Source organism: Homo sapiens, chromosome 14 (genome assembly GCF_000001405.40).
Source record: "Homo sapiens chromosome 14, GRCh38.p14 Primary Assembly".
Classification (NCBI taxonomy): Eukaryota; Metazoa; Chordata; class Mammalia; order Primates; family Hominidae; genus Homo; species Homo sapiens.
This window is the reverse complement of record NC_000014.9, coordinates 97,708,900-97,726,172: the sequence shown is the minus strand read 5'-3', so window position 1 is coordinate 97,726,172 and position 17,273 is coordinate 97,708,900. Positions and strand designations below refer to the sequence as shown.

The 17,273-nt window shown below is 39.0% G+C and overlaps 1 long non-coding RNA gene across 2 annotated transcripts in view, besides 1 other annotated feature; it reads right to left on the bottom strand.

Annotated features, from left to right (window-relative positions):
* The window catches only part of LOC105370651 (uncharacterized), a 91,436-nt gene that overhangs the window by 71,398 nt on the left and 2,765 nt on the right, over positions 1 to 17,273 (bottom strand). Inside the window, exons 3-4 of one of the 2 annotated variants that reach the window (XR_944185.3) lie at positions 9,824 to 9,922; positions 1,063 to 4,718 (exon numbers count right to left, since the gene is read on the bottom strand). The exons of the other annotated variant lie outside the window; for it this stretch is intronic. This is a non-coding gene — a long non-coding RNA (uncharacterized LOC105370651). Of the gene's footprint in view, positions 1 to 1,062; positions 4,719 to 9,823; positions 9,923 to 17,273 lie in introns of those variants that run through there. 2 annotated transcript variants of the gene reach the window in all.
* Positions 12,652 to 13,851: an enhancer, noted in NCBI's record as "P300/CBP strongly-dependent group 1 enhancer chr14:98178659-98179858 (GRCh37/hg19 assembly coordinates)". NCBI's record gives its function as "activates an origin of replication core promoter dependent on BRD2, BRD4, P300/CBP, MED14 and CDK7 cofactors, with strong dependence on P300/CBP, by STARR-seq in HCT116 cells {active_cell/tissue: HCT116}" and the evidence as "EXISTENCE:reporter gene assay evidence [ECO:0000049][PMID:35650434]".

Here is a 17,273-nt window from a genome sequence, read left to right as displayed (position 1 = left end):
AATTTTGAATTATAGTTAAAAATTAACTTTTCAAATAAAATCATACAAATCTTCTTAAATAAAGCCTATCAGATTTTAAGAAGAGTTTGTCTTCATCAGATTTCAATTGATGAAGGAAGAAAGAAAAAAGGAAAACTTCAGTGAAAGTAAAAATGTAGAATGTGCCCTTTGACTGATTGATCTGATCAACAGCAATGTGTCATTTAGAGTTCCTCAGAGAATTATTAGCACTGGCTAGAGTCAGCCTGACCAATCACACACACACACACACACACACAACACACACACACACATGCATACACACACACACACGCTGATGGAAAGCAGTGGGGCTGGAGGGAACACTTACCAAAAGCATAAAGTTAAGCCTTTCCATCAGCAATATCTCCACTGGCTTTTTTATATACTGCCTGCAACTCAAGATTGAAGAACTGGAGATTTTCATTCCTGTTCTTCCTCTTTCAACGGGCAATGTTGAAGCCCATGGGTTTTGGAAGAAATCTGGCTTTATTTCCCAGCTCCTCCAGGTAGCATCTAATCATGCTGGGCAAGAATTCAATTTCTCTGAACTTTAATTTTCATCAGGCAAAGAAAAAGATATAGAAGTAGCAATTGTTTTCCAGGGAAAATGTAAAGATTAAATGGAATGACATACATAAACTGCTTAGTTAGAGCACATAGTGCTCTGACATTTTAGCTGGAAATAATATGCAGCATTTATTGAGTGCATGTATTGTATTTGCCATGCACACTCTTTAAGTGTTTTGCAGTGGTTTTCTTTTGTATTTAAAATTCATGTCGGCCAGGTGCAGTGGCTTACGCCTGTAATCCCAGCACTTCAGGAGGCCGAGGTGGGCAGGTCAGGGGTTCAAGACCAGCCTGGCCAACATGGGGAAACCTCGTCTCTACTAAAAATACAAAAATTAGCTGGGCGTCGTGGTGGGCGCCTGTAATCCCAGCTACTCAGGAGGTTGAGGCAGGAGAATCGCTTGAACCCAGGAGGCGGGGTTGCAGTGAGTCAAGATCGCACCAGTGCACTCCAGCCTGGACAACAGAGCAAGATTCCGTCTCAAAAAAAAAAAATAATAGTTCATGTAATCCTCACAGTATCTATATTGGCAATAAACATTATTGCCATCCACATTTTATAAATAGGGTCACTGAGGCACAGCGAGTGTAACTGCCTTGTTCCAGATTCCACAGTTGGTCCATGACAGAGCTGAGATCAGAACCCAGAGTCCTAACTCTTGACCATTGCAGGCAGTGTCCTTTGCTGCCGCAGTGAATTCAGTAATGCATGCACAGTACTGAGAAGCATTACCTGCCCTTATGCTTTCTAACTTCTTTTCTTCTTCCCACCATTGCAGTGGATCCATCCTGCTGCAAATGGTCATTTTTTTTTCCAGGGCACAATCTAAACATACATCGTTCTCTACTTAGAATCCTAAAGCTCTCCCACGGCCGGCAAAAGGAAACTTAAACTCCTCAGAGTGGCTCACAACCTGACCTCTTGTTCTGCCAGCTTCATTTCCTGTTGCTCTATCTCTGAACTAAACACCCAGTCACTTCAGACTTCTCCCCCAAGCAATGCTGTTTCCTCATGCCTGTGTGCTGGGGTGCCCACCGCCCTCCCGGCTAGAATACTCCTCTCAATTCCCTCTCCTTGGCAAAACTGCACTTTCTACTCTCTTCTGGGCATGCTCCGTCCTGCTGACCTGGTCCTAATCTGTTTACTCTCACACCAGTTCTGTAGGGCAGACGCTGTTGGTTTTCAAACGGGGAAGCCAATTCGGAGAAAATTGTGTTCAAATCATACCGCAGGAAAGTGACTAAGCTAAGATTTAAGTCCACATTTTTTAGTTTCAAGACTCTTTCACCTCCCTTGCACCATCTCCCAAGAAGAACTGGGGGCATTATTTTCTAGCTTCAGCGAGACCTGGGAAGGCTGGTGTTTCTCTTGATGGGGCATAACGTATCTCTGGGAGTGCCTGAAATTCCCTCTGGCTGGTCATCCTCACTCCTGGACTGTGTCTCCTTCCGCCACATTCAATGACCTCTGGGCCCATGGAGTCCAGGACACCCACAGGCAGATGTAGCCACAGCTCGAGGAAGGTCTCTCTGTCTCTCTCCGTCTCTCTGTCTCCCTCTGTCTTGCTGACTAGGAGAGGCACAGGCCAATGTAAGAAGCAAGCCTGGCTTGGGATGCAAAATAAAATGGAATAACGGGGCATGTGCATTTTATCAGAACCAAACAAATTGTGGCTATAAACATTCCGTCGCCAGTGAAATTGCAGCCTTCTTTGAAGATCAGTGTCTGTTTTTTAATGTATCTATATTAAAAAAAAAAAAAAACTGGACCAAATTTCCATTCAACCAGTATGGGGAGGGAGCAGGGGGTGGGAATGGGGACTGAGCCCTGGGAAATGAAACAAGGGAGGGAGAGAAAGGAGACCTTATGTCCTGGATTAGCACATTGATTAAAAGCAAGTTTCTTTCTCTTGAGCAACCCGCCCCCCACAGCCCATCCGCAGCCCCGCAAGCCACTAACCACAATTATTCCACGGGGTCTCTCTTTGCCTTACTTATTTGATATCCTCAGACTCAACTGTTATGGTTCAGACAGTTTGTCTTAGGGGTCCTGGGAGAAGGAGAAAAAAGGCAGCCTCCTAATTGTCTGCAATCGACTGTTGACATCTGCAAAGTACTCTAGCTTCTAACCCTCTCTGTGGATGGTGCATGAGTGCCCCCCACCCACTGCCCACCTCATCCACCTGGGCTTGGCAAGCGGGGCAGCTGCCACCACCATGCACAGCTGGGACTCCTGCCCTGAGCTCTGGCACCCTCCAACACACTGGGGTCACCTTGCTCCCTGTCCATTCCCCAGACCATTTTGTCCGACCTGTGGCTTCAATTACTCTCTGAAAACAGACAATACCCAAAGCCCTGCTTCCAGCTTTGATCAATCTTTGTTGCTCCAGAACCGCATTTGCAACAGTATAACAGACACTCTAGTTACTTCCATTTCTTTCTGGGTAAAATAAAAGAAAAAGACAAATCCCGGACATCTCATTCTAAGTAACTGCTCCTAAAGCAAGAACCTCAACTCTGACATGATTAAATGTAGCCCCACAGCAGAACTCACACATGTCTCCTGGAGCCAAGATCCCTCCTTTGATTTTTCACCCATGCATTCTTCTGTCCTTTTGTTCTTCCAGACATTTCCACTTCTGTATGAGTTTTGAGTAAACACTCGAAACTTAAAATTTCTAAAACTGAACTCTTTCTTGTACAGTCTAGAATTACTTCTATTTATTTATCAGTAATACTCCAAGACTTGATATCTCCAAGTCTTCTCTGATTACGTTCCTCTAATGCAGTACAAATTATAGTCAGCATAACACATAACAATAGCAGTCACCGATGTTTTCTAGTAACACTGTTACTATCACAATTACAGCCCCACTACTTCTTGCCAAGTGTATTCACTCATAGAATGAGTTTTTCTTCCCAGCTTACTTCCAGGAATTCAATGTCACTTTCAATCAGAAAACTAGATGCAGTTAAAATAGAAAATTAGGGGAAAAAAATGAACCCCTTCCCAAAGAAACTGGATGATATGTTTTCTTAAATTTTTATAGATTTGTATTTTTATAAATTGTGCACTTTTCTATAGGTATGCTGAACTTCAATGCAAAGTTTACTTAAAACAAAAATGGAATAAAAATGCCAAGATCCCCCATAAGGCTCTGGGTGCTCCCTCTGTTGGGAACCTCACTTCCCCTGCAATTTCCCCACTATGCCTGGCTCTGATTTCTGGATGTATTGAAGGCCTGGTTCAAATCCTGCCTCCTAAATGTAGCCTTCTCATATTTTCCTCAATCAAGGTTTGTCTCTGCACTATTGAACACCCCTCCCCATCCTAATTGGCTCGATTTATTGTCTTTCCCACAAACGTGGTCTGGTTCTGGCTTCAACAGCACCACAGTCCATCCAGAGCTCCAGCCATAAACCTGGAAGATGCCTGTGATGCCACACTGCTCATATGAAATCAATCACCAGCTCCTATGGCCTTTATATCTCTACATCACTCAAGTCATCTATTTTTCTCCCTTTCTTCAGCTAATATCCTAGTTCAAGCTGCCATCATGTCTGGATTAATGTGAGGTGCTCGCAGTGAGTCTCCCACACACCGTGGCCCTCTTTCAATCAATTCTCCACATGGCAGCAAGGTGATATTGTTAAAATGGATGTTCCCTGACAGTCCTGTTGTCTGTTCCATTCTGCCCCTTCTTAAACCTCTCAGTGTCTTCCCTTCATCCTTACAATAAAGGCCAAAACCCTCACCATGGCCATGCCTCCTCACTAGCGTCAACTTGTGCAGTATCTTCCTGGATTTTTTCACTCCAGCCACACTGACTGGCCTTCATTTTTTCCTTCAAGAGTCTTCACCCTAGCATTTCCTGCTGCCTTAAACTGCTCCTTCTGCTTAATCTTCACTCACCCTCAGAAAGCAAAGGATTGGCTTTTCAAAGAAGTTTTTCTGACTCTTTCATATTAACACAGGCTCTTCCTCTGCAATGGACCGAATGTTTCTGTCCCCATCCCCCAAAGTTCATATGTTGAGATCCTAGACTCCAAAGTAATGATTTTAGGAAGTGGGTCCTTTGGGAGCATGTGGATCTCAGACTTCCAGCCTCCAGAAATATTAGGTTTCAGCTCTGAGGGAAAAAAAAGTTGAAAACATTTTACTTGTTGATTTAAAATTATATTACAAAGCTATACTAAACAAAAAAGTATGGTACTGGCATAGAAACAAACCCATAGACCAAAGGAATAGAATACAGAGCCCAGAAATACACCCGAACATATATAGTCAACTAATTTTTGACAAAGGCACCAAGAGGACATAATGAGAAAATAATAGTCTCTTCAATAAATTGTGCTGGGAAAAACTGTATTTTCATATTCAAAAGAATAAAATTAGACCCTTAGTTTACACCATGGATGAAAGGCCCAAAAGTAAGATCAGAAACTATAAAATTTCTAGAATAGAACATAAAGGGAAAGCTCCTAGACATTGGCCTTGGCAATGATTTTTTGGATATCACACCAAAAGCTCAGGCCGTAAAAGCAAAAATAAATAAATGAGACTATAACAGACTAAAAGCTTCTGCACAGAAAAAAAAAATGAAATGGCAAACTACATGTCAAAAAATAATATTTGCAAACCATATATCTGATAAGAGGTTAATATCATACAACTCAATAATAGAAAGCCAAATAACCCAATTTTAAAAAAAAAATGGGCAAAAGACCTAAATAGACATTTCTCTAAAGAAGGTATAAAAATGAACAATAGATAAATTAAGAAGTGCTAAACATCATTAATCATCAGGGAAATGTAAATAAAAGCCACTATGAGATACAACTTCATGTGCGTTAGGATTATTGACTGTTATCAAGATTTCAAAAGATAACAAATGTTGGAAAAAGTGTAAGAGAAAAGGAAACAAATTCTTGTAGACTGTTGGTGAAAGTGTAGATAAGTTTAGCCATTATGGAAAACAGTATGGAGGTTTCTAATGAAATTAAAAATCGAACTGCCATATGATCCAGCTACTACTCTTCGAGGCATAAAGCAAAATGTTACAAAATGATCACCTTCCAAAGGTAAAGAGACCTGCACTCCCATGTTTATTGTAGCTTTATTAACAATAGCCAAGCTATGGAAACAACCTAAGTGTTTGTCAACAGATGAATGGATAAAGAAACTATATATATACACACACATTTATATGTGTGTGTGCACATATAAAATGGAATACTATTCAGCCTTAAAAACAAATAAATAACAGAAATGAGATCTTGCCATTTTCCCCAACATACATCAGCCTGGAGGACATTATTCTAAATGAAATAAGACAGACATTGGAAAAAAAAAAAAACAGAAGAAGAATGCATGATCTCACTTATATGTGAAATCTAAAAAAAAAAAAATCAAAGATACAGAGACGGAGAACAAAACAGTGGTTACCAGGAGTGGGGGTGGGAGGGGATGATGGGGAGGAAATGGAGAGATGTAGATCAGAAGATACAAAGTAGCAGATGTGTAAGATGAACATATGTAGATATCTAATGTACAACATAAGGACTACAGGTAATAAAATTGTGCTTTTTTGCGAATTCATGCTAAATTAGTAGATTTTAACTGCTTTTGCCACTAAAACAAAAGAAAATGGTAATGGTGAGATGATGGATATATTAACTTGTTTCACTATAGTAACCTTTTTACTATCCATGTGTATTCTATAACATCATGTTGTATACCTTAAATACACACAATAAAATTTATTTTAAAATAAGTTTTTAAAAAAAGATTTCATGGAGCTTTACTTACTAGGTTTTAGATTTCTTTGAAACCCACCACTTTTTTTTTTTTTCTATTTTTCCCTTTTGGAATGAAAATGTCTGTCTACACCTGTTTACCATCGTATTTTGCAAGCACATAACTTGTTTAATTTCACTGGTTCACAGATGGAGATAAATTTTACCTCAGGATAAATTGTACCTGGAGTCTCACCCATATCTTTTTTAGACAATATTTTGATGAGACTGGACTTCAGACTTTGAGTTGATAAGAGAACGAATTAAGAATTTTAGGGCTATTAGGATGGAATAAAAGTATTTTACCTATGAGAGGAATATGAAGTTGGGGGACCCAGGGGCAGAATGCAATGGACTGAATATTTTCATGTCTCTAAAATCCGTATATTGAAATCTCAACCTCCACTGTGAAGTATGAGAAGGTGGGGCTTTTGGTAGAGAATTAGGACTTGAGGTTGAAGCCCTAATGAGTAGGATAAATGCCCTTATGAAACAGAATGCAGAGAGCTCTCTTCTGCCATGTGAAGATACAGTGAGAAGCTGGCTGTCTGCAACCTGGAGGAGCTCCCTCAACCAGAACCCAATCCTGCTGGCACTCTGACCTCAGACTTCTAATTTCCAAATTGTGAGACATAAATGTCTGTTGTTTATAAGCCATCCAGTCTCTGATACTTTGTTTCAGCAAAGTCTCTTCTAAGAATTCAGATTTGTCACAGTAAAATGCTAGCTTTGAAGTTCCAAGATTAAACAGGAAGAAAAACTGCAGAGAAACTATCCAAGAGGTAAGTAAACCCAATGTGTTTGTCTTGTCTCCATTCAAGATCATTGACTCAGAGAAATCTTGGATTAGCCTCCACCCCACCAGGCATGCATTAAGCCACCCTGTTCTCTGCCCCTTAGTGTCCTGTACTTCCCAATAACATTGTGTCTCATGCTTCTATTTCTAGTTCAACTCTAACCTCTGTGAAGACATGGCTTGTGCTTACTCTGCATCTATAGTGTGTAGCATTCAAATATATTTGTAGAAGAAAGAAAGGAGAGGAGAAAAAGTGAGATCTCCTGGCCTCTCCTCAGGTGGGTGGGATGGGAGTCAACTGATAGTGAAAGACAGAAAAAGGCAATATCCGAGAGAAAAGAGAAAGTGTGAAAGCAGTTCAGGGGCCCATCAGCAGAGAGGGAAAGGGCACTCCCTGGCCATATGTGAATATTTTCATAGGCTTTTGAATTGGAGATCATGACCCTAGAGATTACAAAGTGTGTAAGATTTGGGAAAATGTGAAATGCATATATGCAATCATTTTGCAACTCTCGCAGATGGTCTACCTGTTTGTGTTCACATTGCTACTTATTAGAGATAACTCAGTGTATTAAAATCTGTCTAGACACTGTATATCATGATGTTATCATTCATAGTGTCCCTTTTTGATGTCTAAAATTTGATTTTCATGTTTATATGTCTTTAATCAAGTCCTCCAACAAGGGAACAAGGGGGATGCAGTTGGATGGAACAAAATAGATGGTTGTCTTCCTGCGTTAGTATTATTTCTTTAACCAATATTTTTTGGATAGGAAAATTCAATCATCTGAAATCCACTTATCTTTATTGTATATTTCACAACTTCGATGATAAAGAGAAAAATCAAATTATTACAAAAGGAAAATATGAAATGTATTACCTATCAAAAAATAAAATTTGACAACCATGAATAGAAATGACAGAGAACCGGGAAACAAGGTCTTCCAAGTGTTTTGTAGAAATAACTCAAGTGTGAAGATATAATAATGCTTTTTTACCTTTGGTTTATTTATTTTTTTTTTACTTTCAAAGGCACAAAATTTTACCTCCCAAATCCCCCATCTCAGAAAGTTTCTGGAAAACACACTGTAACCAAATAAGTGAATCATGGAGAAAAAAAAAAGAGAAAATGTAGAAGAGAAAAAGGATCCGCTCCAGGGTACCATTGTACAAAAATACAAATCAAGATGGTAACTCTATAGCATGTCCAACTGAGTCTAGGAGGAAATCAGAGAGCCTGAAGAATATATGTAAGGAGATGTTTTATAACAAAGTAAGTATATAAGTATATGTATTGGTTTTAACTTGTAAAGTCAACCAAAAAAAAAAAAAAGCAAGAAAGAGATATGTGAGGTGGAAGAACAGAAAGCCAGTGGGATCCACCTGATAAAATTATAGGGATATTACAAACAACAGAAAAGTGGAGGCAAGAGTAGGGGTAGATGGGGGAAGATGACAGGAAAGCACTGCTAAATTTATAAAATAGAAATACATGATAAATATTTCATTAAAATGACACTGGTACTCCTAGAATTAATAAGTAATTACAGCAAAGTTGTAGGATATCAAGTTAATTTACAAAAATCAATTACTTCCCTATATGCCAGCAATGAACAGTTGAAATTTGAAATTTAAAGCATAATAACATTTACATTAGCACTTCCCAAATGAAATACTTAGATAGCTAACAAAATATGTACAAGATCTATGAGAAAAATATATAAAATCTAATGAAAGAAATCAAATAACTGAATAAATGGAGAGAGAGTTCATGTTCGTAGGTAAGAAGACTCAATATTGTCAAGATGTCAATTTTTCACAACTTGATCTATACTTTTAAAAAATATCTATAAAAATCTCAGCAAGTTGGTTGGGGACAGTGGCTCACGCCTGTAATCCCAGCACTTTGGGAGGCCGAGGTGGGCAGATCACCTGAGGTCTGCCTGACCAGATTTCAAGACGAGCCTGACCAATATGGTGAAACCCCGTTTCTACGAAAAATACAAAAAATTAGCTGGGCATGGTGGTGTGTGCCTGTAATCCCAGCTAGTCAGGAGGCTGAGGCAGGAGAATCACTTGAACCCGGGAGGCAGATGTTGCAGTGAGCCAAGATCGCGCCATTGCACTCTAGCGCTGGCAACAAGAGCAAAACTCCACCTCAAAAAAAAACAGCAAGTTATTTTGTGAATGTTGACAAACTGATTCTGAAGTGTATATAGTGAGGCAAAAGACACAGTAGAGTAAACACAGTATTGAAGAAAAATAAATTTGCAAGACTGACATTACCTAACTTCAAGACAGGCTGTAATGATACAGTAATCAAACCAGTGTGGTATTAGTGGAAGAATAGACAAATAGATTGATGAAACAGAATAGAAAGCCCAAAACTAGACCTGTACAATTATAGTCAACTGATCTATAACAGCGAAGCAAAGGAAATGCAATGGAGAGGAGATAGTTTTTCAACACATGGTCCTGGAAAAACTGAACATCTATTTGCCAAAAATATGTACATATATATGAGACATAGTTCTTGCACTCTTCACAAAAATCAACTCAAAATGCACCTAAAATATTTATCTAAATATAAAACATGAAATTGTGGAACTACTAGAGGAAAACATAGGAGAAAATGTGGATTACCTCCAGTTTGAAGATGACTCTACAGATACAACATCAAAGGCATAATCCATAAAAAGAATAACTGATACGTTGATCTTTATTACATTAAAAACTTGTTATCTGCAAAAGATATTATCAACATAATGAGAAGACAAGCCATAGATTAGAAGAAAATATTTAGAAAATACTTATCTGATAAAATATATTGTCCAAAATATCCAAAGAGCTCTTAAAAGTCAACAATCAGAAAATGAACAACCACATTAGAAGACAGGCAAAAGACCTAAAGAGGTACTTTATCCAAAAAAAATTCAAATAGCAAATAAGCATATGAAAAGATTTTTCGCATGTTATGTCATCGGGAAAACGCATATTAAAACAACAAGGAGATACCATAGCACACCTATTAAAATGGCCAAAATCCATAACACACTAACAACACTGAATGCTGGTGAGGATGTGAAGCAACAGGAACTCTCATTCATTGCTGATAGAATTGCAAAGAAGTGCAACCACTTTGGAAGACAGTTTGGCAGTTTCTGACAAAACAAAACATACTCCTAACATATTAATAATATCCAACAGTTGTATTCTTAGATATTTACCCAAATGAGTTGAAAACTAAAAGCCACACAAAAATGTACACATGAATATTTTTAGTAGCTTTATTTATAAGTTGGAAACAACCCAGATGTCTTTCAATAGAAAAAGGCAAACAAGTAACTAAATTGTAGTATATCCAGGCAATGGAATATGACTCAGTACTGAAAAGAAATGAGAGATGAAACTTTGCAAAGACATTAAGGATTTAAGTGCATTTTACTTAAAAAGCCAATTTGAGACAATATGTACTGTATAATTCTAACTATATGACATTCTGGAAAAGGCAAAACTACATAAATAATAAAAAGATTGGTTGCCATCAGGAGTTAGAGAAAGAGAAGGATGACTAGGCAGAGTCAAGGATTTTTTCTTTTTTTTTTTTTTTTTTTAGACGGAGTCTTGGTCTGTTGCCCATGCTGGAGTGCAGTGGTGTGATCCCAGCTCACTGCAACTTCCGCCTCCCTGGTTCAAGCGATTCTCCTGCCTCAGCCTCCTGAGTAGTTGAGATTACAGGCATGTGCCACCATGCCCGGCTAATTTTTGTATTTTTAATAGAGACCGGGTTTCACCATGTTGGCCAGGCTGGTCTCGAACACCTGACCTTGTGATCCACCCACCTCAGTCTCCCAAAGTGCTGTGATTACAGGTGGTGAGCAACCACACCCGGCCAAGCAGAGGATTTTTAGGACAGTGAAACTATTATGTATAACACTGTAATGGTGGGTCAATGTCATTCTTTATACATTTGTCAAAATTCATTGAATTTACAACACAAAGAAGGAACCCTAATGTTCACTCCTATGAACTTTGGGTGATAATGATATGTCATTCAGGTTCATTGGTTGTTAATGGATGTACCATTCTGTGGGGATGTTGATAGTGGGGCAGACAGTGCATGTGTTGGGACAGGGGCTATGAAGGAGCGCCCTGTATTTTTTGCACATATTTGTTGTGAACCTAAAACTTCTCTAAAAAAAAAACAGAGTCCACTTTAAAAAATTACAATGGGAAACAATAGATAAGCTAAAATAGTAAAATAAAATTAACCAATAAAATTAACTGAGTTAAAATCATTGAGTTTTAAAACAATGTAATGTAATATGTAATGTAATGTAAGTACATTGGAACTAATGTAAGTGACCTAAATTGTGTTTTATCGTGGTATGAAATCAATAAATATCTGATATTGGTAAAGTGAGAAATAAGAGTATAATAATCCCATTACTTTAACAATTCAACAATAAAAAGCAGTAAAAGTGATTTATTTAGAGGATTAGGGTATGAGTAGAGCCTGGAGACTGATGATTTGTATCATAAATTCTTATATTCTTTGACTTTTTAAGCACATGTAAGGAATAGTTTTACTTGACACATTTTAAGGGAAAAAGCTATTATAAATATCTGAGCCTATTAGAGAGCTACTTATGCAGCTTTCTTGTTTCTCTCTCTCTCTCTCTCTCCCTCTCTCTCTCTGTCTCTCTCTCCCTTGCTCTCTCTTTCTCCCTCTTTCTTCTTTCTGATAGGACCTCACTCTGTCACCTAGCCTAAAGTGCAGTGGCATGATCATGGCTCACTGCAGCCTTGACCTCCTGGGCTCAGGTGATCCTCCCACCTCAGCCTCCTGAGTAGTTGAGACTACAGGTGTGCAGCACCATGCCTGGCTAATTTTTGTATTTTGTTTTTGTAAAGACGGGGTTTAATCGTATTGCCCAGGCTGTTCTCAAACTCCTGGGCTCAAGCGATTCACCCACTTCAGCCCCCAAAAGTGCTGGGATTACAGGCTTGAGCCAACATGCCCAGCCATTTCTTGTTTCTTTAAACACTGATCAACTTTATTTTTTGTTGCAATTATCTGTAATTGAGTAGCCAGATTTCTATTTTTTTAGACCACAGCTTTACGCTTATTCTTTTCTGCCTAGGAGTTGAAAATGAAATTATACACATTCTTTTTATGGAATTGTTTGAAATCGTTAAATTTCAAAAATGTATTTTAAAATGCAGAAAAATTTTACGCTGATCCCTAGAAGCATTCTGGCAGCATTGTGGATCATGCTTTTTCTTCACTTACTCAGAGTCAGCACCTCCTGGCCCATCTATCTTGAACTTGCATTGCTGAAGTTACTTTGAGCTTTATAGGGATTGGATATTCCAGACATAGCAATCATGATAGTAGCAACAATACTAAATAATTGTTTATGTTAATCAAATGACTCTATGGGCAATATATTGTTCTAAGAAGTTTTAAGCATCATATTATTTTAGCCAGACGCCAGTCCTGTGGGGGCAGCTACTAAAAACAATGGTGCAGTTGAATGTAGACTACAAGACCTATTACGGGGATTTCAAACCAAGCTCAGACACATTCTATTTTTTACCTGTAGGACACTTACTTTTAATGTCGATTGTGACTCAGCTTCCTTATGTGTAAAATGGGAATAATCACACTATGTACTTCCTAGAGTTTTGGTGAGGAGTAAATGAGTCAGAACACGTAAGCACTTAGAACAGCGCCTGACGCATGACAGGCAATGCAGCGTAATGGTGATGTCATCCCAATTTTATAGATAGGAACTGAGTCACAGAGAGAGTAAATGGTGGAGCTAGGATCCAACCTGGAGGTATGACTCATTCGTTAGTCTTTTTACCACTGGGTCCCAACTTTGAGCTAAGAGTCCCACCTTATGTTTGCTTTATTAACCTATTGGGGGAAGACACAGGCTTTGAAGACAGACACACTTGAATTCTAAGCCCAGCTATATCCCCTTCCTTAGCTCCATGGCTTTGGTCAAGTTTGAAACTTTTCTGATTTTGTTTTCTCCTTAATTGGGGGTATGAAAACCTCCCTTGCTGAGTGGTTCAGAGGGTGAACTAAGTTAATGTGTAGAAAGTACCCAGAATCTCATTAGAACACAGCTGTGATGAAAGAACTCTATCATCTTCCTTTCCTGATAAATCATGTCCAGAAATGTCTCTGCCCTCCAGAACCTTGTAATCTGAAGGGACATTTAGATTAATAAATGTTCAGATTCAACTTTCCTTGCTATTTCTTAAGCACCCACTATTCCCCCAACATTGCTCAGCAATTCCACATAAATTACATCACTTAAATTACAAAGGATACTGTTTCCTTTTAACAGGTAAAAGAGATGAAAGTTTTGAGCCATGATGAAGCTTAAGTATGAATGATACTAGCACATAATACAAAGCCCTTTGACTGAAAAGTAAAAAGAAAAAAATGCATGGAAACAGGCTGATAGTTGCTTCTCCATTGTCTACTGACTTCCCTTTGCTTGTGAATTACTAAATTCCTTATGAGAAGGTGAACTTACACTTCAAGAGAGTGCTCTGTGGTCTCAGCCTTTACCAATCACGTTTGCCAATTATTTGGTTTGAAAATAGTGAGTATAGAGTTGTGTGATTAGAAAAAGGGTCCTCACAGCCCAGCCTGATGGCACTGAGGCCCCACAAAAAGACAGCGAAGAGGGTCATATGGTGGATGTTAGCAGACCAGGAGACTATGGCTCCGCAGAGACGAAGATGCTTCCCACACCCTATTCTGCCTGTCTGCAGAGTCTATTTCTGGAACCCTAGGGTTACCTGCCACAGATGCTGTTGGAGCCCAGGTCAGGACACACATGTGCCCAGTGTGTGTCACAGCCACTCACATGACATGATGAAAGAACCATCACTCTGCTCCTTATATAAGGGGCTTCTGATAATAAGCAGCCTCAGAGATCTAATTATTTATCTGGAGGGAAAAAGCGATTGTGTTGGTTTTGCCTAAATGCTCAAAGTTTCATGAGGAAAATATTAACAAGGACCTGCTTCCGGGTTGCGGCATCTCACGGGGGTTGACAACCCTTCCCCCAAACTGCGGAGGGGAGGCAACAGGAAGGACCTGGGCATCCACAGGGAATAATCACATTTTGGGCCACTGTTTATGCATGTTGTCAGCAGAGAGAAGAGAAAAGCAACAAAATCTGCTTTTCATGGGCAGAAAGCAAATCTAATGTTCCGGTATTTACAACTTCAATATTGATAGAGTCTCTTGCCTCTGTAGAACTGAATCACAGGAAAACATGTAATCTTTCCTGGCCCTTGTTTGGATAGGGCAGAGATAAATTAAAAAGTTACTTTTTCCTCCCTTTACATCAAGCAGTACAACTTATTTCTGTAATCAACATCAGTGAGATTCACCTTTCGGGAAATCAGAATTTTCTCTTCAGCCACAAATCCATTTTAGGTAAACATCATTGACCACCCACATGTAGAGACGCTTTGTTGGGAAAATCACTTTCCCTTTTTTCCTTTTCTTTGTGATTTTGTAGCAATGTATGGGAGGGTGCATTCCACTAAGAAAGTCTATTGTTCTCTAGACTTATTCCACGTAGGACAATGGAATCGAGGTTTGTTTTGCTGAACATACATTATAATTTCCATAAATACAATTACATTCCAGTGGAAAATATTCTGCAATAGAAGTTCAGTCGCCTGCATAACTGTAGTGTTGGACATAGAAAATGAAGACCGTGTCATTCCCTGAGACGATCAAACGATTACTAAATTTTTTCAAGTTTTCATATTGAGGGGATACTCAGTCATTTGTTTAATAACTGCTCACCAAGTGGCTGTTACACGACAGTCATCGTTCTAAGTTCAAAAGGTACAAAGGAGACATCACTCCTGCCTGCGTAAGGTTTTCTGTCTGCAGAAAGAAATCAGATTTGGACTCAGCTCTCACACCTGATTAGCACTATGAATATCATGTAGGTGGGATTTGGAATGCATAGGGATCAAAGGAATGTGATTTAATCTTTACAATCACCTGGAGAGGGTTGCAATATTACTCACATTTTATAGTTTTATGGCTGAGAAAGGAAATGCTTAGAGAGGTCAAGCAGCAGCCCAAGGCTACAGCTAGAAAGTAGCAGATTCTGAACCTATATATGTGTGGCTTAGAGCCTAGGTACTCTCTTCCTTCAGGAGGACAAAAACAAGGATTGCTATGGTGTTTGCAGCTGTCCCTAAAATTGTCTTCATATAATACAATTTTGATGTTGGTGATACCAGGACTGGGTTTGAGTGTTTGTAAATGTACTGGGGTAGGTTAACCACAATCTCCTGTTATTCTTAATGGTATGAACATGTGTCTATTCAAAATCATTACCATTTGGAAACAACAGAAATATCCAATGCAAAGAGTAGGTAAATCATGTATCATCCATATAAAATCATAATATGCAGATATCTGACATATTATTACAAAAGTATACAAAGTTTTTAAATGAATATCAAACAATGAAATGGAATTGAAAGGTACAAAATTGTGTGTGTGTGTGTGCATTCACAATCCTTTGTAAAATGACTGTATGAAAAGAAATGAGAAGAAAAATACCTAAAATATTAACATGAGAAGTACATTTTAAAATTCATTTTATTTTTCCAAATGTTATCCAATATATATTCATTGAAGTAATAAACTAAAATACAAGTCATTTTATCAAAGCCATCTGTACTCACTAAGAATAGTCAATAAATCACAGCATTTTTAGACTTAATATCAGTCAAGAAGAGTCACTGTCAGCTTTTCTCCTTCTTGGTTTCCCCCTCAGGTGGTCTACAACTGATATTTCATGTCATATAAACACACTGAATTTTGCAATGAAAGAAATGTGTAGAATTGCAGTTGCATTGGAATATGATGGAGAGATGTATTTTTAAATATATCAATGTTTATCTCTCTCTCTCTAGCTATCTCTGTCCTATCTATCTATCTATCAATCATTTCTCTTTTTCTTAATTTTAAGGAACAAATAATTTACACTTCCTGAGCACTAACAGTGTCCCCGGCACTGAACTTGAATTATTGCACTGAATCCTCCTGACAGCCCTATGAGGAAATTATTATAGACACCCCCATCTAATGTGACATATGCAAGCCCACATTGTCAGCAAGGGGCAGAGCCAGGATGTGCATCCGGGCAGCCTCTCTCCACCCCTCCCCTCGCAGTCCCCATCAGTTGGTTTTGTTACTGTGCCTTTCTCTTGAACACAGCCCTTGGCGCTGTCCCTGGCTCATGGCGGACACTCAACACTCAGCCACGGTTGTTGCTGCTACTATTACTATTCACTTCTTATTTATTCTTACATCACCTTTTGTGGGTTGTTATACCCAGTGCTTTTTCTCCTGTTTATACCTGTTTGAAAAAATATAAAGAATCCTTCAATTTGAAGATTTTTGGTTTATCAAATGCAGAAGAAGGAAGAGGATATTTATATAAGTTTTTCAAGATGAATCTTTTAGAAAACCTACAAATCAAATATTCATTCCAGCTAGGGCAATAGAAAATATCTATACTGTTCTACAGTGAACTTCCCTTTTCTCCAGGAATGTCTGCTATGGAACGCGACCATCACTGGCAACTTCTACAGGAGGGCCTGCTTAACAAGCTTTACCAAGGTCCAGCCCACACTCTTTAAACTGGCCTAGAAGGTCCTTCCTACTCTGCCCCTAACTTCCCTTCCAGCCTCTCTTCCTGCCCTAACCCGTTCTTAATCCATCAATTCCCCCATACAGCCAAACCAAGCCATGCTCACTGACTCATGCCTTCCTATTTCGCACCTCTGGGTCTGCACAGATTCTTTGAGCTGACAGTGGACACATCCTCTAAGACGCAGTGGAAGCATGAGGTCTGGGAGGGGCCTCCAGACTCTGGCCCAGCTCAAGATTCACTCTTCTCTTCCTAGAGGTCTTCCAGTAGAGTATCCTTTCCCCATATGCTAACTAATATCCCTGAACAGCATCACCTTCTCTAGACTAGGAAGCTTTGGGAGCAGGATCTGAGTTCTGGGCATTCTCAGTGCCCAG